At 51.1% G+C, this 13,348-nt stretch overlaps 1 protein-coding gene and 1 long non-coding RNA gene across 3 annotated transcripts, besides 3 other annotated features; one reads left to right on the top strand and one right to left on the bottom strand.

The window, feature by feature from the left end:
• PYCARD (PYD and CARD domain containing) lies at nt 2,739-4,013 on the bottom strand. 2 transcript variants are annotated; one of them, NM_013258.5, is made up of 3 exons: nt 3,670-4,013; nt 3,400-3,456; nt 2,739-3,094 (listed from the first exon to the last, which is right to left on the bottom strand). In NM_013258.5, exons 1-3 carry the CDS (start codon nt 3,941-3,943, stop codon nt 2,838-2,840), a joined length of 588 nt encoding a protein of 195 aa, NP_037390.2. In that variant the 5' UTR covers nt 3,944-4,013; the 3' UTR covers nt 2,739-2,837. The 2 variants fall into 2 exon arrangements, with proteins under 2 accessions (NP_037390.2, NP_660183.1); NM_145182.3 differs by lacking the exon at nt 3,400-3,456.
• Nucleotides 2,844-3,474: an enhancer, noted in NCBI's record as "H3K4me1 hESC enhancer chr16:31212912-31213542 (GRCh37/hg19 assembly coordinates)". NCBI's record gives its function as "activates a minimal SCP1, AML or CMV promoter by ChIP-STARR-seq in naive H9 embryonic stem cells {active_cell/tissue: H9 hESC(naive)}" and the evidence as "EXISTENCE:reporter gene assay evidence [ECO:0000049][PMID:30033119]".
• On the top strand, nt 3,138-4,705 carry PYCARD-AS1 (PYCARD antisense RNA 1). The gene is made up of 2 exons (NR_102400.1): nt 3,138-3,239; nt 3,713-4,705. It is a non-coding gene; the product is annotated as a PYCARD antisense RNA 1 (long non-coding RNA).
• Nucleotides 3,664-3,893: an enhancer, noted in NCBI's record as "active region_10757". NCBI's record gives its function as "activates an Ori minimal core promoter by ATAC-STARR-seq in GM12878 lymphoblastoid cells {active_cell/tissue: GM12878}" and the evidence as "EXISTENCE:reporter gene assay evidence [ECO:0000049][PMID:35858748]".
• Nucleotides 4,004-4,363: a silencer, noted in NCBI's record as "silent region_7416". NCBI's record gives its function as "represses an Ori minimal core promoter by ATAC-STARR-seq in GM12878 lymphoblastoid cells {active_cell/tissue: GM12878}" and the evidence as "EXISTENCE:reporter gene assay evidence [ECO:0000049][PMID:35858748]".

Consider the following 13,348-nt stretch of genomic DNA (forward strand, 5'->3'; position numbering starts at 1 on the left):
GACTGGGGCTGGGATTTCCACACCCATGGAGCCACGACTAGGACTGGGAGTGACAGAACGAGTTTGGGGGTGCTGCCAGAGGGGCACTCTAGATTGTTCTTGGGATAGCACAGGTTCCCAGATACAGTTCTAAGCCATTGAGGGGCTAGGAGCAGAATCGTCTTAGTGGAGGTGATTGCTAACTCTGAGGTGTACTTGCCATGAGCCAGTTGCTGTTAGGGGATGAGCTGATTCCTGTCACTCCCACTTTAGAGGGGATGCTGACACAGCTAGTGAGAGGTGGGGCAGGGACTTGAACCTCTATTCTTTAGCTATAGAACTTCTGTCCTTAACCACTATGCTATGCCTAAAATCTGAGGAGACTTCTGGTAGGACTCTTTCTCCCACAGCCCAAAGGAAAAAGGAAGCCCCAAGAAATGTTTTATCTTAGGGAAACTTTCTTGGAACCACTTCCTTCCCTCAGGCCTGCACTGGTTTTTGTAGTGACTCTAAGGATGTCTGTCATGCAAGGATGTGTTACCTATGGCCCCATGTCAGGAGAATGATTAGGTTCCTGTGAAGTTTAAAAAAAATCCTGTTAGATACTAGAGATACACAGTAACTGCCATATATTACTTTCTACATGCAAGGCACTTGTACAGAGGTTGAAAAGATGTCTCCATTTAAGCGTCCATTTAAGCAGGGGAGTGGTGGAGTCTTCTGTGAAGGTAGACCAGCACATGGTTTGCATTGCCACAGAGACACTGGGAAGAGCCTCTGAAACCCAGAGGAACGCATGCGTATGGGCAGTCTGGGGCAGGTAGAAGATGTCAAGGTGTCCAGAGATAAAGGGGTCAGCATGTGCAAGGGCACCTGGTATGAGCAGATAGTGGTGGGATCGTGGGTATGTGAGGAGAGGAGAGGTTGCATGGGGTTAAGTGCCAGGTTAGGAGGAGAGTTTAGGTGTCCTGTTAAAAATGACAGTCAGCTGGGCATGGTGGTATGCACCTGTAGTCCCGGCTATTCAGGAGGCTGAGGCTGGAGGATTGCTTGAGCCCAGGGGTTTGAGGCTGCAGTGAACCATGATCACACCACTGCACACCAGCCAGAGCAACAGATGAGATCCCGTCTCAAAAAAAGTGAGAGTCTGTTCCCATGATCAGTTTGGATTTCTCAGGCTCTTGGAGCTAGAGGCAGGGAGGACAAGGTAGGAGGTGTGTTGCAGATAAGATGTAATTAGAGATAAGCCTGGTGGGGCAGTGAGGTTGGAAAGTGGTTGTTTGGTGATTCCTAAGGATAGGATTCAGGGTCTCCTTGGTATCTGCCCATTGCTTTGCAAATCCTCCCTCTTCAAGGCCAGAAAGGATTGCTTGTAAAGTGTACTTAGGAAGTAGCCCTAGATTCCTGCTTTCCCAAACAGCCTCTGGAAAGACCTCAAGTTTCCTGGAGAGAGATACTCATATTTCCCTTTGTAGGCAAAAATTGCATCAAGAAGGTGGGCCCGGTGGCTCACACCTGTAATCCCAGCACTTTGGGCGGCTGAGGTGGATGGATCACTGGAGGTCAGGTGTTTGAGACCAGCCTGGGCAACGTGGCAAAATCCCGTTTCTACTAAAAATGCGAAAATTAACCGGGTGGGGTGGCAAGCACCTGTAATTCCAGTTACTTGACTGGCTGAGCCACAAGAATTGCTTGAACCTGGGAGGCAGAGGTTGCGGTGAGCTGAGATCATGCTACTGCACTCCAGCCTGGGTGACAGAGTGAGCCTCCGTCTCAAAAAAAAAAAAAGAAAAAAGTGGCCGGGTGCATTGGCTCACGCCTGTAATTCCAGCACCCCAGCACTTTGGGAGGTGGAGGCGGGTGGACCACTTGAGGTCCGAAGTTCCAGACCAGCCTGGCTGACATGGTGAAACTTTGTTTCTACTAAAAACACAAAAACTAGCCAGGTGTGGTGGCAGGGGCCTGTAATCCCAGCTATTCGGGAGGCTGAGGCACAAGAATAGCTTGAACCTGGGAGGTGGAGGTTGCAGTGAGCTGAGGTCACGCCACTGCACTCCAGTCTGGGTGACACAGCGAGATTCCATCTCAAAAAAAAAGTTTTAAATGTTCCTTTCAAATGAATGAATAAGTAATAACCCTCCAAAAAAATCGCATCAAGAAAAGAGGCAGCTACCACACACAACTCATTTCCTGAAAATCTGCTTTGGTGGTTGGCATGTTTTTTGAGCAAAGTGCAACCTATGACCCTTTCCCCCACGGGATGGGGTGGGGCAGAGGGAGCCTTTAAGCCTGTTAAGAGCCAGCACCAGAAGGAGCCCTCGAGCAATTTGGTGACTTGTGCTCTTCTGTCCTATGTTTAGATAATGCTCTAATGTGTCTCCCCCTGCAAATTTCTCTAATTCTGCATTTTTCTCCAGTGGAAAATGTGGAAGGTAGGGGAGCTATGAAGACTAGTGTGTTTCTAAATGGCTTGGACAGAGCTGCCCACCAGTTTGCGCCCTTTGGTACATGCCTCTTTTAACCTTCGGACCTGGGTCACAGGCTGTTATCTATAATGGTAAGGTTAGACCCTTTAGGGAGCACTGGAGGAGCACCACCTGGTGAATGAGGAGGGATATTCCATGGCGATACCAGGAAGGATGGGGGAAGCATTTGGGGTGCCAGAGACCCTAGGGACATGGAGCTGGAGGCTGGGTGGCCTCTGAAGCATAGCTGAGCTCTGCACATGCCAGCAGGCTAGAAGCAGGAAAACACACAAGTTCAAGCTGGCTTTTCGTATATTGTGTATAAAAAGATCAGATTCAGGATGATTTGGTGGGATTGCCAGGGGCTGACCGGAGTGTTGCTGGGAAGGAGCCTCAGCTCCGCTCCAGGTCCTCCACCAGGTAGGACTGGGACTCCCTTAGGGCCTGGAGGAGCAAGTCCTTGCAGGTCCAGTTCCAGGCTGGTGTGAAACTGAAGAGCTTCCGCATCTTGCTTGGGTTGGTGGGCTCGGCCCGCACTGCCTGGTACTGCTCATCCGTCAGGACCTTCCCGTACAGAGCATCCAGCAGCCACTCAACGTTTGTGACCCTCGCGATAAGCGCAGCCCGGTGCTGGTCTATAAAGTGCAGGCCTGGGGGTGGGAGGAGAACATGAGCCAGCAGCCAGGGTGTGGGGCCTGTCCCTGCTGAACTTGAGTTCTTCAGGAATTCCTCTGCAAGCCTAGGGGCAGGGCTCCAGGGGGCGGCCACCAGGACCCCACATGCAGTGGGATGAGGGTAATATTGTCTCCCTTCCCCCGCAGGGTGTGGGTTGGTGGGTGGGGTGCGCAGGGTTGCCAAGCCGTGCCTGCCCTGCCCTGCCCTGCCCTGGTTGCGGGAGCACAGATGCAGGCTGTGCAGGAGTGCGGTGGGGCCGGGCTGGGTGTGGAGGCCTCACCTGGCTTGGCTGCCGACTGAGGAGGGGCCTGGATCCCAGCTGGCGCGGCTCCAGAGCCTGGAAGGATATGGGCCAAGTGATCCCCTTCCCTTCCCTTCCCGCCGTGGGGCCGGGGTCCCGTTGGTCGGTAGGCCAAGCGTGGGGAGCCTCCTTTCCGGTAGAGCAGCTTTGTTTAGGGGTAGGAGGAACAGAAAGCGGAAGAGCCCGCGGGGTAAGCGCTGGTGTGGGTGGAGGGGAAAGACGGGGTGGAGGGGAACGGGGGCGGCTCACCCTGGTGCGTGGCCGCCTGCAGCTGCCCGGCCATCTCCTGCAGGCCCATGTCGCGCAGCACGTTAGCGGTGAGCTCGGCGCCGTAGGTCTCCAGGTAGAAGCTGACCAGCTTGTCGGTGAGGTCCAAGGCGTCCATGGACAGCAGCGCGCCCCGCGGGATGCGCCCGTAGCCCTCGCGCAGCGGCACCGACAGCAGCTTCAGCTTGAACTTCTTGAGCTCCTCGGCGGTCAGGTTCTCCAGCGCATCCAGGATGGCGTCGCGCGCGCGCCCCATGGCTCCAGGATCCCCGGCCGCTGCCGCCGCTCACCCCGCTGCAGCCGCCGACCAGGAGGAAGTCGGCTCCGGGGCGGAACCTGGACTCCCCGCCTTCCTCCCACTCTGGTCTCCCGACTCCCCGCCCCGGTCCGTTGCCCTCCAGCAAAAGGCGCTTCCTTACTACACCCTTGGTCCCCTCCCACCCAGGCCTCTGGATTGGGGCCCCAGGCCGTCGGGGGACGCCAGGATCGCGCCCTCCAGCTGGCCTGCGAGGTGGGACCCGGGAGGGGGCCGCAGAGGGGCTCATGGGTGGCGCCTGCTTGTCTCTGGGCTTGCACCAGCGGGTACAGACCGGAAACCTGGGCTGGCTCTCACTGGGTTTATTGGAGCACCTAGGCTTAGAACCTCGGATTTCTAGAACCCCGAAACCTCCGCGGTTCCCCGAACCTTAGGATCCTCTCCCACATGTCGTAGAATCTTGGAATCATGACAGCTAGAAGCGTGAAGCTCCCTCAATTCCACATACTGGGGAAAAATGAGTTGTACAAAAGGGCAGAGAGTGCAAATCTCTCTGAGCTTCAGTTTCATTTTCTACGACATGGGGATAACCCTCCGGTGCTTATAAATATTCCAGCATAACATGGCCAACCCGATGGCTCCCGAAACCTTGCCAGATGCTTCCTAGGGGAGCCAGAATTTGATCCCAACACTGATTAAAAAAAAGAAAAAAGAAAGAGAGACAGCCTCCAGGAGATTAAAGACCATGAACTTGAAGCCATACAGTTCTTTGTTTGAATCCTGACTCTACTTCCCAAGGGGGATATTTGGAATCCTTTATTTTTCCCTCTCATCTGGGTTGTAACAATCACTGTTCCTTGTAGTCATACGACCCTGACATATTATACGTTTATATGCTTATTGGACATTCATCCCTCTCTAAAATGTGAGGCCTATGAGCATCGGAGACCTTAACTGTCTTATTCTTTGCTGAATTCCTAGCGTCAAGAATGTACCTGGAAATAGCTGTGTGTGGTGGAGGGCGCCTGTAATCCTAGCTACTAGGGCGGCTGAGGCATGAGAATCGCTTGAACCTCGGAGGCAGAGGCTACAGTGAGCCAAGATTGCACCACTGCACTCCAGCCTGGGTGACAGAGCTAGATTCCATCTGAAAAAAAAAAATGTATCTGGAACACATTAGGTGCTGAGTAAAGATTTGCTGAGTGAAGGAATGAATGAGGCTGTGATGCCTGCAGCATGTTGTATTCAAAAGCTTCCAGCATGGCTGGGTGCAGTGGCTCATCACGCATGTCATCTCAGTGCTTTGGGAGGCTGAGGCCGGAGGGTCACTTGAGCCCAGGAGGTTGAGGGTGCAGTGAGCTATGATTGTGCCACTGCACTCTGTGCCACTCGGCAACAGACACCTTGTCTCAAAAACAAACAAGACAACCAGGATGGGCCGGGCACGGTGACTCATGCCTGTAATCCCAGCATTTTGGGAGGGCGAGGTGGGTGATCAGGAGTTTGAGACCAGCCTGGCCAACAGAGTGAAACCCCATCTCTACTAAAAATACAAAAATTAGCCGGGCGTGGTGGCAGGTGCCTGTAATCCCAGCTACTGGGGAGGCTGAGGCAGGAGAATCGCCTGAACCCGTGAGGTGGAGGTTGCAGTGAGCTGAGATCACACCATTGCACTTCAGCCTGGGCAACAAGAGCGAAACTCCATCTCAAAACAGGAACAAAAACAAACAAACAAAAACCACGATGGGGAGCAGTGCTCTGCTACCCTGCTGAAAGCCTTTTTGTTGTTGTTGTTGTTGTTGTTTGTTTTTTCTTTTGAAGACAGGACCTCACTCTGTTGCCCAGGCTGGAGTACACCGGAGGGATTGTGGCTCACTGCAGCCTTGAACTCCTGGGCTCAAGCAATTCTCTCACCTCGGCCTCCTGAGTACCTGCGACTACAGTTGTGCCACCATGCCTGGCTAGTTTTTAAAATTTTTATAGAGAATGGGTTTCCCTATGTTGTTCAGGCTGGTCTCAAAGTCCTGGGCTCAGCAGTCCTCCTGCCTTGGCCTCCCAACATGCTAGGATTACAGGTGTGAGCCACTGTGCCTGGCCTTGCTCCCCATCCTTGTAGCATGTGGGCTGGGGTAAGCTGTGTGCCAACATCCTCACCATGGGTGGCACTTGTGGTCCAACAGCCAGTGTTCCTTGGCTCATGGATGTTTATCATGCCTTCTCACTGGCCTTTATCCTTCCAGAATCTCCATTTCCTTTTGTGCACTGTGGCCAGAAGGATACATCTTCCTAACCCACACATATGATCCTGCACCTGCCTGGCTCAGAGACCCCCTCATGACTCCCCAGTGCCCTCAAACTCAAGTCCCAAGCCCTTGGCTTGGCCTTCAAGGTCCTTGCCAACCTCTTCAGCTGCCCCTTCCAGCTTGCTGATCCGTGAACCTCCGCCCCTGTGGGAGCTGCTCTCTGCTTGGCCTCTTTTTCCTCCTGGTCTACTTGGTGAGTTCCTGCCTGTCTTCTGACGTTCATCAGGCATCACTTTTTCTTTTCTGCTTTTATTTTAGAGATGAGGTCTCACTCTGTTGCCCAAGCTGGAGTGCAGTGCGCAATCATAGCTCATTGTAGCCTCGAACTCCTGGGTTCCAGCGATCCTCCCACCTCAGCTTCCTGTGTAGCTGGAACTACGGGTGCATGCCACCATGCTCAGCTAATTTTTTAATTTTTTTGTAGAGATGGGGTCTGGCTATGTTGCCCAGGCTGATCTCCAACACCTGGGCTCAGCGATCCTCCTGCCTTGGCCTCCCAAAGCACTGGGATTACAGGTGTGAGCCAACACACCCAACCTAGGAGTCACCTCTTCTAATAAATAATAGAAATAAGCCTTTAGTCTGCAGTCCTTCGCATGCCTCCTTCCTTCCTTCCCTCCTTTCCTTCTTTTGTTTTTCCCTTTCTCTCTCTCTCTGTTTTTTTTTTTTGAGATGGAGTGTTGCTCTGTTGCCAGGCTGGAGTGCAGTGGCGTGATCTCGGCTCACTGCAACCTCCACCTCCCAGGTTCAAGCGATTCTCCTGCCTCAGCCTCCCAAGTAGCTGGGACTACAGGTGCGCACCACCACACCCAGCTAATTTTTGTATTTTTAGTAGAGATGAGGTTTCACCATGCTGGCCAGGATGGTCTTGATCTCTTGACCTTGTGATCTGCTCGCCTCTGCCTCCCAAATTAGTGGGATTACAGGCATGAGCCACCACACTCGGCCTCTCTTTTCTTTCTTTCTTTCTTTCTTTCTTTCTTTCTTTCTTTCTTTCTTTCTTTCTTTTTCTTTCTTTCCTTTCTTTCTTTCTTTCCCTTTCTTCCTTCCTTCCTTCCCTCCCTTCCTCCCTCCCTCCCCTCCTCTTTCTTTCTTCTTTCTCTCTTTCTATCTCCTCTTTATTTCCTTCCTTCCTTCCTTCTTTCCTTCCTTTCTGTCTCTTTCTTTCTCTTTCTTTCCTTCCTTCCTTCTCTCCCTTCCTCCCCCCTCCTTTCCTTCTTTCCTTCCTTCCTCCCTTCCCTTTCCTTCCTTCCTCTCTTTCTTCTTTCCTCTCTTTCTTTTCTTTTCCTTCCTTTCTTCCTTCCTTCTCTCCCTCCCTCCCTCCCCCTCTCCCTCCCTTGCTCCCTCCCTCCCTCCCTTCCTTCCTCCTTCTTCTTTCTTTCTTTCTTCTTTCCTCTCTTTCTTTCCTTTCCCTCCCTCCCTCCCTTCTTCCCTTCCTTCCTTTCTTTTCTTTTTCTTTTTCTCTCTCTTTTTTTTTTTATTTTTTTGAGATACGGTCTCAGTCTGTTGCCCAGGCTGGAGAGCAATGGCATGATTATAGCTCACTACAGCCTTGACCTCCTGGGCTTAAACGATCCTCCCATGTCAGCCTCCCAAATAGCTGATACTACAGGTGTGCACCACGATGCCCAGCCAATTTTTGTAATATATATGTTTTTAGACAGAATCTTGCTCTGTCACCCAGGCTGGAGTGCAGTGGTGCAATGTCCCCTTACTGCAACCTCTGCCTCATGGGTTCAAATGATTCTTGTGCTTCAGCTTCCTGAGTAACTGGGATGACAGGCGTGAGCCATCATGCCCAGCTAACTTTTGTATTTTTAGTAGAGATGGGGTTTTGGCATGTTGCCCAGACTGGTCTCGAACCCCTTGGCTCAAGCAATCTTGCCTGCCTTGGCCCCCCCAGGTACTGGGATTACCGGCGTGAGCCACCATGCCCAGCCCACGTGCATTATTTCTAAGCCTTATAGCAATCCCTTTGAGATAGGGAATCATGGCCCCACTTTGTAAATGAGAAGATAGGTTCAGAGAGGTGGAAGGGCTTGTCCAAGGTCACATTCCAGCACAGAGCTTGGCACAGATCCAGCCTTGATAAGCTGTTGTAGAATGACACAAGAATCCTAGAATCTAGAATCATCGAAACCTGCTCTTTTCACTTTGGTAGAATTGGAAGAGCTTTGGGTGTTTGATCCATTTAAAAATGATTGCCTGATTCAATCCCTACAACGCAGAGCAGGGGTCCCCTTTGCCATGTGGCCTCCTGCCTGCATCTCCAGAGCCCTTGTTTGGATGGGGTGGCCTTTGCTTTAGGTAAAACAAATGTGATGCCTTACAACGGAAACTTTGGGGCTGCAGGAAAATGCACCTACAGGAGTGTGTGTATGTGTGTGTATATGCGTGTGTGTGAGTGAGTGATGCCTCTCTCCTCCTCACACTCAGCTTCTTGGTAGAGAGGAGGTGAGCATGTGAGTCCCCGTGGGGTGAAGCTCTCCTTACTTCTGAGCATCACCACCCAGGTCCTTCCTTTGGGGCCCAGCTTGCCCCTGGCATCTGACCCCAGTTACGTCCTACTGATACACACATTCAGATGGAGACGGGGAAGCTCCTGGCTGTGATTGTCACCTGCCGTCACCTCAGAGCAAGTGTTAGCACTTCGGTGAGATGTCACAGGGAGGCAAGGGACAAGGGACTGGGGAAATGCAGCCGTTTCTCTCGGAGAACTGGAAGCCTCCCTCCTGCAGCAGTTTCAGGTCGGAGCTCAGTGAGAACAAGTGACATCTTTTGGCAGGTGCATGTGCTCTGTGAGCAGACTGTAAATTCTTTTGTTGCTTTTGTTTTGGAGACAGGGTCAGGCTCTGTCGCCCAGCCTGGGGTGTAATGGCACCCTCCCGGCTCACTGTAGCCTCAACTTCCCAAGCCCAAGTGATCCTCCCATTTCTGCCTCCCAAGCACCTGGGACCATAGGCATGTGCCACCACGCCTGGCTAATTTTTGTATTTTTTTGTAGAGACGGGGTTTCACCACGTTGCCCAGGCTGATCTCGAACTCTTGGGCTCAAGCAATCTGCCCGCGTCGGCCTCCCAAAGTGCCAGGATTATAGGCGTGAACCACCGTGCCCGGTCTGACCCTCCCCTCTTTCTGGATGCGAGCTCCAAGAGCTGAGTTTTGACCCCTGACAGGAAAGAGCCTCCAGTTCTCAGCCCAGGCTCACCCTTGCCCCCCTGGACAGGAGCCAGAGTGGTTGGTGGAATTAGGATGCCTGCTTCCTGGGTGTGACCCCTACCCCCACAACAAAGTAACACCTTGATTGCTGGAGCCAGATTGCTTCTCCTGGGGCAAGAAGGACCACAGACTGCCAGGACGTTGGGCAAGTCATTTAGCCCTTGTGCCCCATGGCCTCCCTGTAGGAAAGTGAAAGCGTTGTTATGAGGCTGCAATGAGTTCAGAATTGTGAAGAGCTGGTGCAGTGGCTCACACCTGCAATCCCAGCACTTTGGGAGGCTGAGGCGGGCAGATCACCTGAGGTCAGGAGTTCAAGACCTGTCTGGCCAATATGGTGAAACCCTGTCTCTACTAAAAACACAAAAATTAGCTGGGCATGGTGATGGGTGCCTGTAACCCCAGCTACTCGGGAGGCTTATGCAGGAGAATTGCTTGCCTCCGGGAGGTGGTTCAAGCGCTGTACTCCAGCCTGTGAGACAAGAGTGAGACTCTGTTTCAAAACAAAATAAAAGAGCTCGGCATGGTGGCTCACACCTGTAATCCTAGCACTTTGGGAGGCCGAGGTGGGTGGATTGCCTGAGCTTGGGATTTTGAGATCAACCTGTGCAATATGGCGAAACCCCATCTCTACTAAAACACAAAAATTAGCTGGGCGTGTTGGTGTGTGCCTGTAATCCTAGCACTTTGGGAGGCTGAGGTGGAATAATCGCTTGAACTTGGGAGGCAGAGATTTCAGTGAGCTGAGATGGCCCCACTGCACTCTAGCCTGGGTGACAGAGTGACTCCATCTCAAAAAAAAAAAAAAAAAAAACAAACAAAAAACAAAACAACTTACTTGTTGCATCTTTACAGAAATACATAGTCTTGATACTAATCCTTACATGATTCTCATTTTATAGGTGAGAAAATCAGGTTAAGCGACTTGCCCAAGGTCACACAACAAGGAAATTCTAGTCAGGACTGGAACCTGGAAGTGACAGTCACTGCTTCCTAAGCCCTTGGGTGCCAGCACACTGTCCCTGTTTATGTGGCATATTTTTTTTTCTTTCTTTTTTTTTTTTTTTTTTTGAGACTGAGTTTTGTTCTTATTGCCCAGGCTGGAGTTCAATGGCTCGATCTCAGCTCACTGCAACCTCTGCCTCCTGAGTTCAAGCAATTCTCCTGCCTCAGCCCCCCAAGTAGCTGGCGTTACAGGCACCAGCCACCATGCCCAGCTAATTTTATAATTTTAGTAGAGATGGGGTTTCACCATGTTGGTCAGGCTGGTCTTGAACTCCTGACCTCAAGTGATCCCCCCACCTCGGCCTCCCAAAGAGCTGGGATTACAGGTGTGAGCCACTGCACCCGGCCTATGTGGCATATTTTTCAGTTTAATCCTCATGACAACTCTATGGGATGGTTTTTTTTTTCTTTTCTTTCTGAGACAGGGTTCAAGCAATTCTCCTGGCTCAGCCTTTGGAGTAGCTGGGACTATGGGACTACAGGCGTGAGCCACTATACTGTTTTGTTTGTTTGTTTGTTTTTGGTAGAGACGGGGGTCTCGCTGTGTTGTCCAGGTTGGTCTTGAACTTCTGGACTCAAGTGATCCTCCCACCTTGGCCTCCCAAAGTGCTGGGATTACAGGTGTGAGCCACCACACCCAGCCAGGATGGTGTTATTTATCCACATATTGTATTTGAACGTGCTGAGGCCCAGAGAGGCAGGTGATTTTCCCAGGGGTGCCCAGCATGAGCTCATGAAGTCAGCATTCAGGACTTGCTTCTGTAGCAGCCCTGACTAGGGCTTTCTGGCCTCTCTCTGCATGTACCCAATAATTAGGAGCTCTTACCTTCCAAGGCACTCATTGCTTGAGCTGTTGGGAAACTTTCCCTTAGGACAAGCTGAAATCTATCCCTAGCTCTTTAGGTCTGAGGGACCTCATAGGGCCAGCTATACCGGTTTACCACTCCCTCCTTCCCTGCACATGGCTTATTGCCTCTTCTTGTTCTCAGTCTGCTTAAGACAATCAATGTTCCTTCCGTGGATCAGAGGCCAGTCCTGGCCCATCTGCAGGGAAGGATTGAATTGACTATCACCCACCTGTCTTAGACACCCACTCCTATAGATGACAGCAGGACCTTCAGTCCCAACTTGGCAATATTGGAAACTCTGGATGAGATTTAAGTTCTGGAAGTTGAGTTTTTGAGCATGAGCAACTTGTGGTTTCAGAGACCAGCTCCAGATATACCCTCTTTCAAACCTCTTCCTATTGCTAACACAAGGCTGCGTCTGAGCCATCAAGAATGGAAGAGAAGAAATCAGGGGCTTTTAGCCAGGCATGGTGGTGAACACCTGCGGTCCCCGTTACTCAGGAGGCTGAGGTGGGAGGATCACTTTAGCCTGGGAGGTCGAGGCTGTAGTGAGCTATGATTATAACATTGCACTCCAGCCTGGGCGACACAGTGAGACCTCAGAGACTTAAGGACAAAGAAGGTGGGGACACAAAACTCCCCTGGATTTCTCAGTGTGCCGGTAAAGAGCGCCAGCTTTGGCCGGGCGCAGTGGCTCATGCCTGTAATCCCAGCACTTTGGGAGGCCGAGGCAGGCGGATCACGAGGTCAGGAGATCGAGACCATCCTGGCCAACATGGTGAAACCCTGTCTCTACTAAAAATACAAAAAATTAGCCAGGCGTGGTGGCAGGCGCCTGTAGTCCCAGCTACTCGGGAGGCTGAGGCAGGAGAATGGCGTGAACCCAGGAGGGCGGAGCTTGCAGTGAGCCGAGATCTCATCACTGCATTCCAGCCTGGGCGACAAAGCGACACTCCGTCTCAAAAAAACAAAAAAACAAAAAAACAAAAAAAAAAAAAGGAAAAGAAAAAAAAAAGAGCACCAGCTTCCTGAGACTTTTCACATCTTAATTTCAGAATTTTATCTGCAGTCATTTATACAGGTAATTGCTCTTATCCAAAAGAATAATAGAACTTTTTTTCCTCCTAAAAGAACCAAATGTTTACAGCCTGAACGAGGGCCTAGGTTAAACAAGGTGTCAGGCAGCCTGAAGTAGCTACCTTCTTAAGCAGGCCAGCAGAAGTTCATGCTGTCACCACATAACATGCAAGAAGGAATGAGCGGTCGGGTGTGGTGGCTCATGCCTGGAATCCCAGCACTTTGGGAGGCCGAGGCGGGTGGATCACCTGAGGTCAGGAGTTCGAGACCAGCCTGGACAACATGGTGAAACCCCGTCTCTACTAAAAATACAAAAATTAGCTGGGCGTGGTGGCACGTGCCTATAATCCCAGCTACTCGGGAGGCTGAGGCAGGAGAATCGCTTGAACCTGGGAAGTGGAGGTTGCAGTAAGCCGAGATTGTACCACTGCACTCCAGCCTGGGCGACAGAGCAAGACTCCATTTCAAAAAAAAAAAAAAAAAGAAAAAGAAAAAATTAAGAACCTAAGAGACAGGCAAAGGGAGAGTCCAAAGGGGAGATTAAGAGAGTGAAACAGAAACAAAAATTCATTCTGAGAGAGACAGCAGTTGAGAGAGGAAAGAGTAAAACCAGGAAAAGGTTTGAGGGAAGCTAAGAGAAAGATGGAGAGGCCAAATGAGAGGGACTGAGTTTGCGTGTTTATTCATTCACCTAGTATCTGTAGAGCGCCTAATGTGTGTCACACACTTTAGTCTAAGCTGGAGACAAGCAGTAAACACAATTTCTATTCCGTAGGAAGAGACAGACAAGAAACCAGCAAACAAGTAGAATACATTGCATGTCAGATGCTGATAAATGTTATGGAGAAAAGGAAAGCCAGGCAGTGAGATGTTGGGGAGTTAGGAGATTTAAAATCAGGGAATTGGGAGAGGTCTTGCTGGAAAGGTAATATTGAGCAAAGTCTGAGGGAGGAAAA

Source organism: Homo sapiens, chromosome 16 (assembly GCF_000001405.40).
Source record: "Homo sapiens chromosome 16, GRCh38.p14 Primary Assembly".
Taxonomy (NCBI): Eukaryota; Metazoa; Chordata; class Mammalia; order Primates; family Hominidae; genus Homo; species Homo sapiens.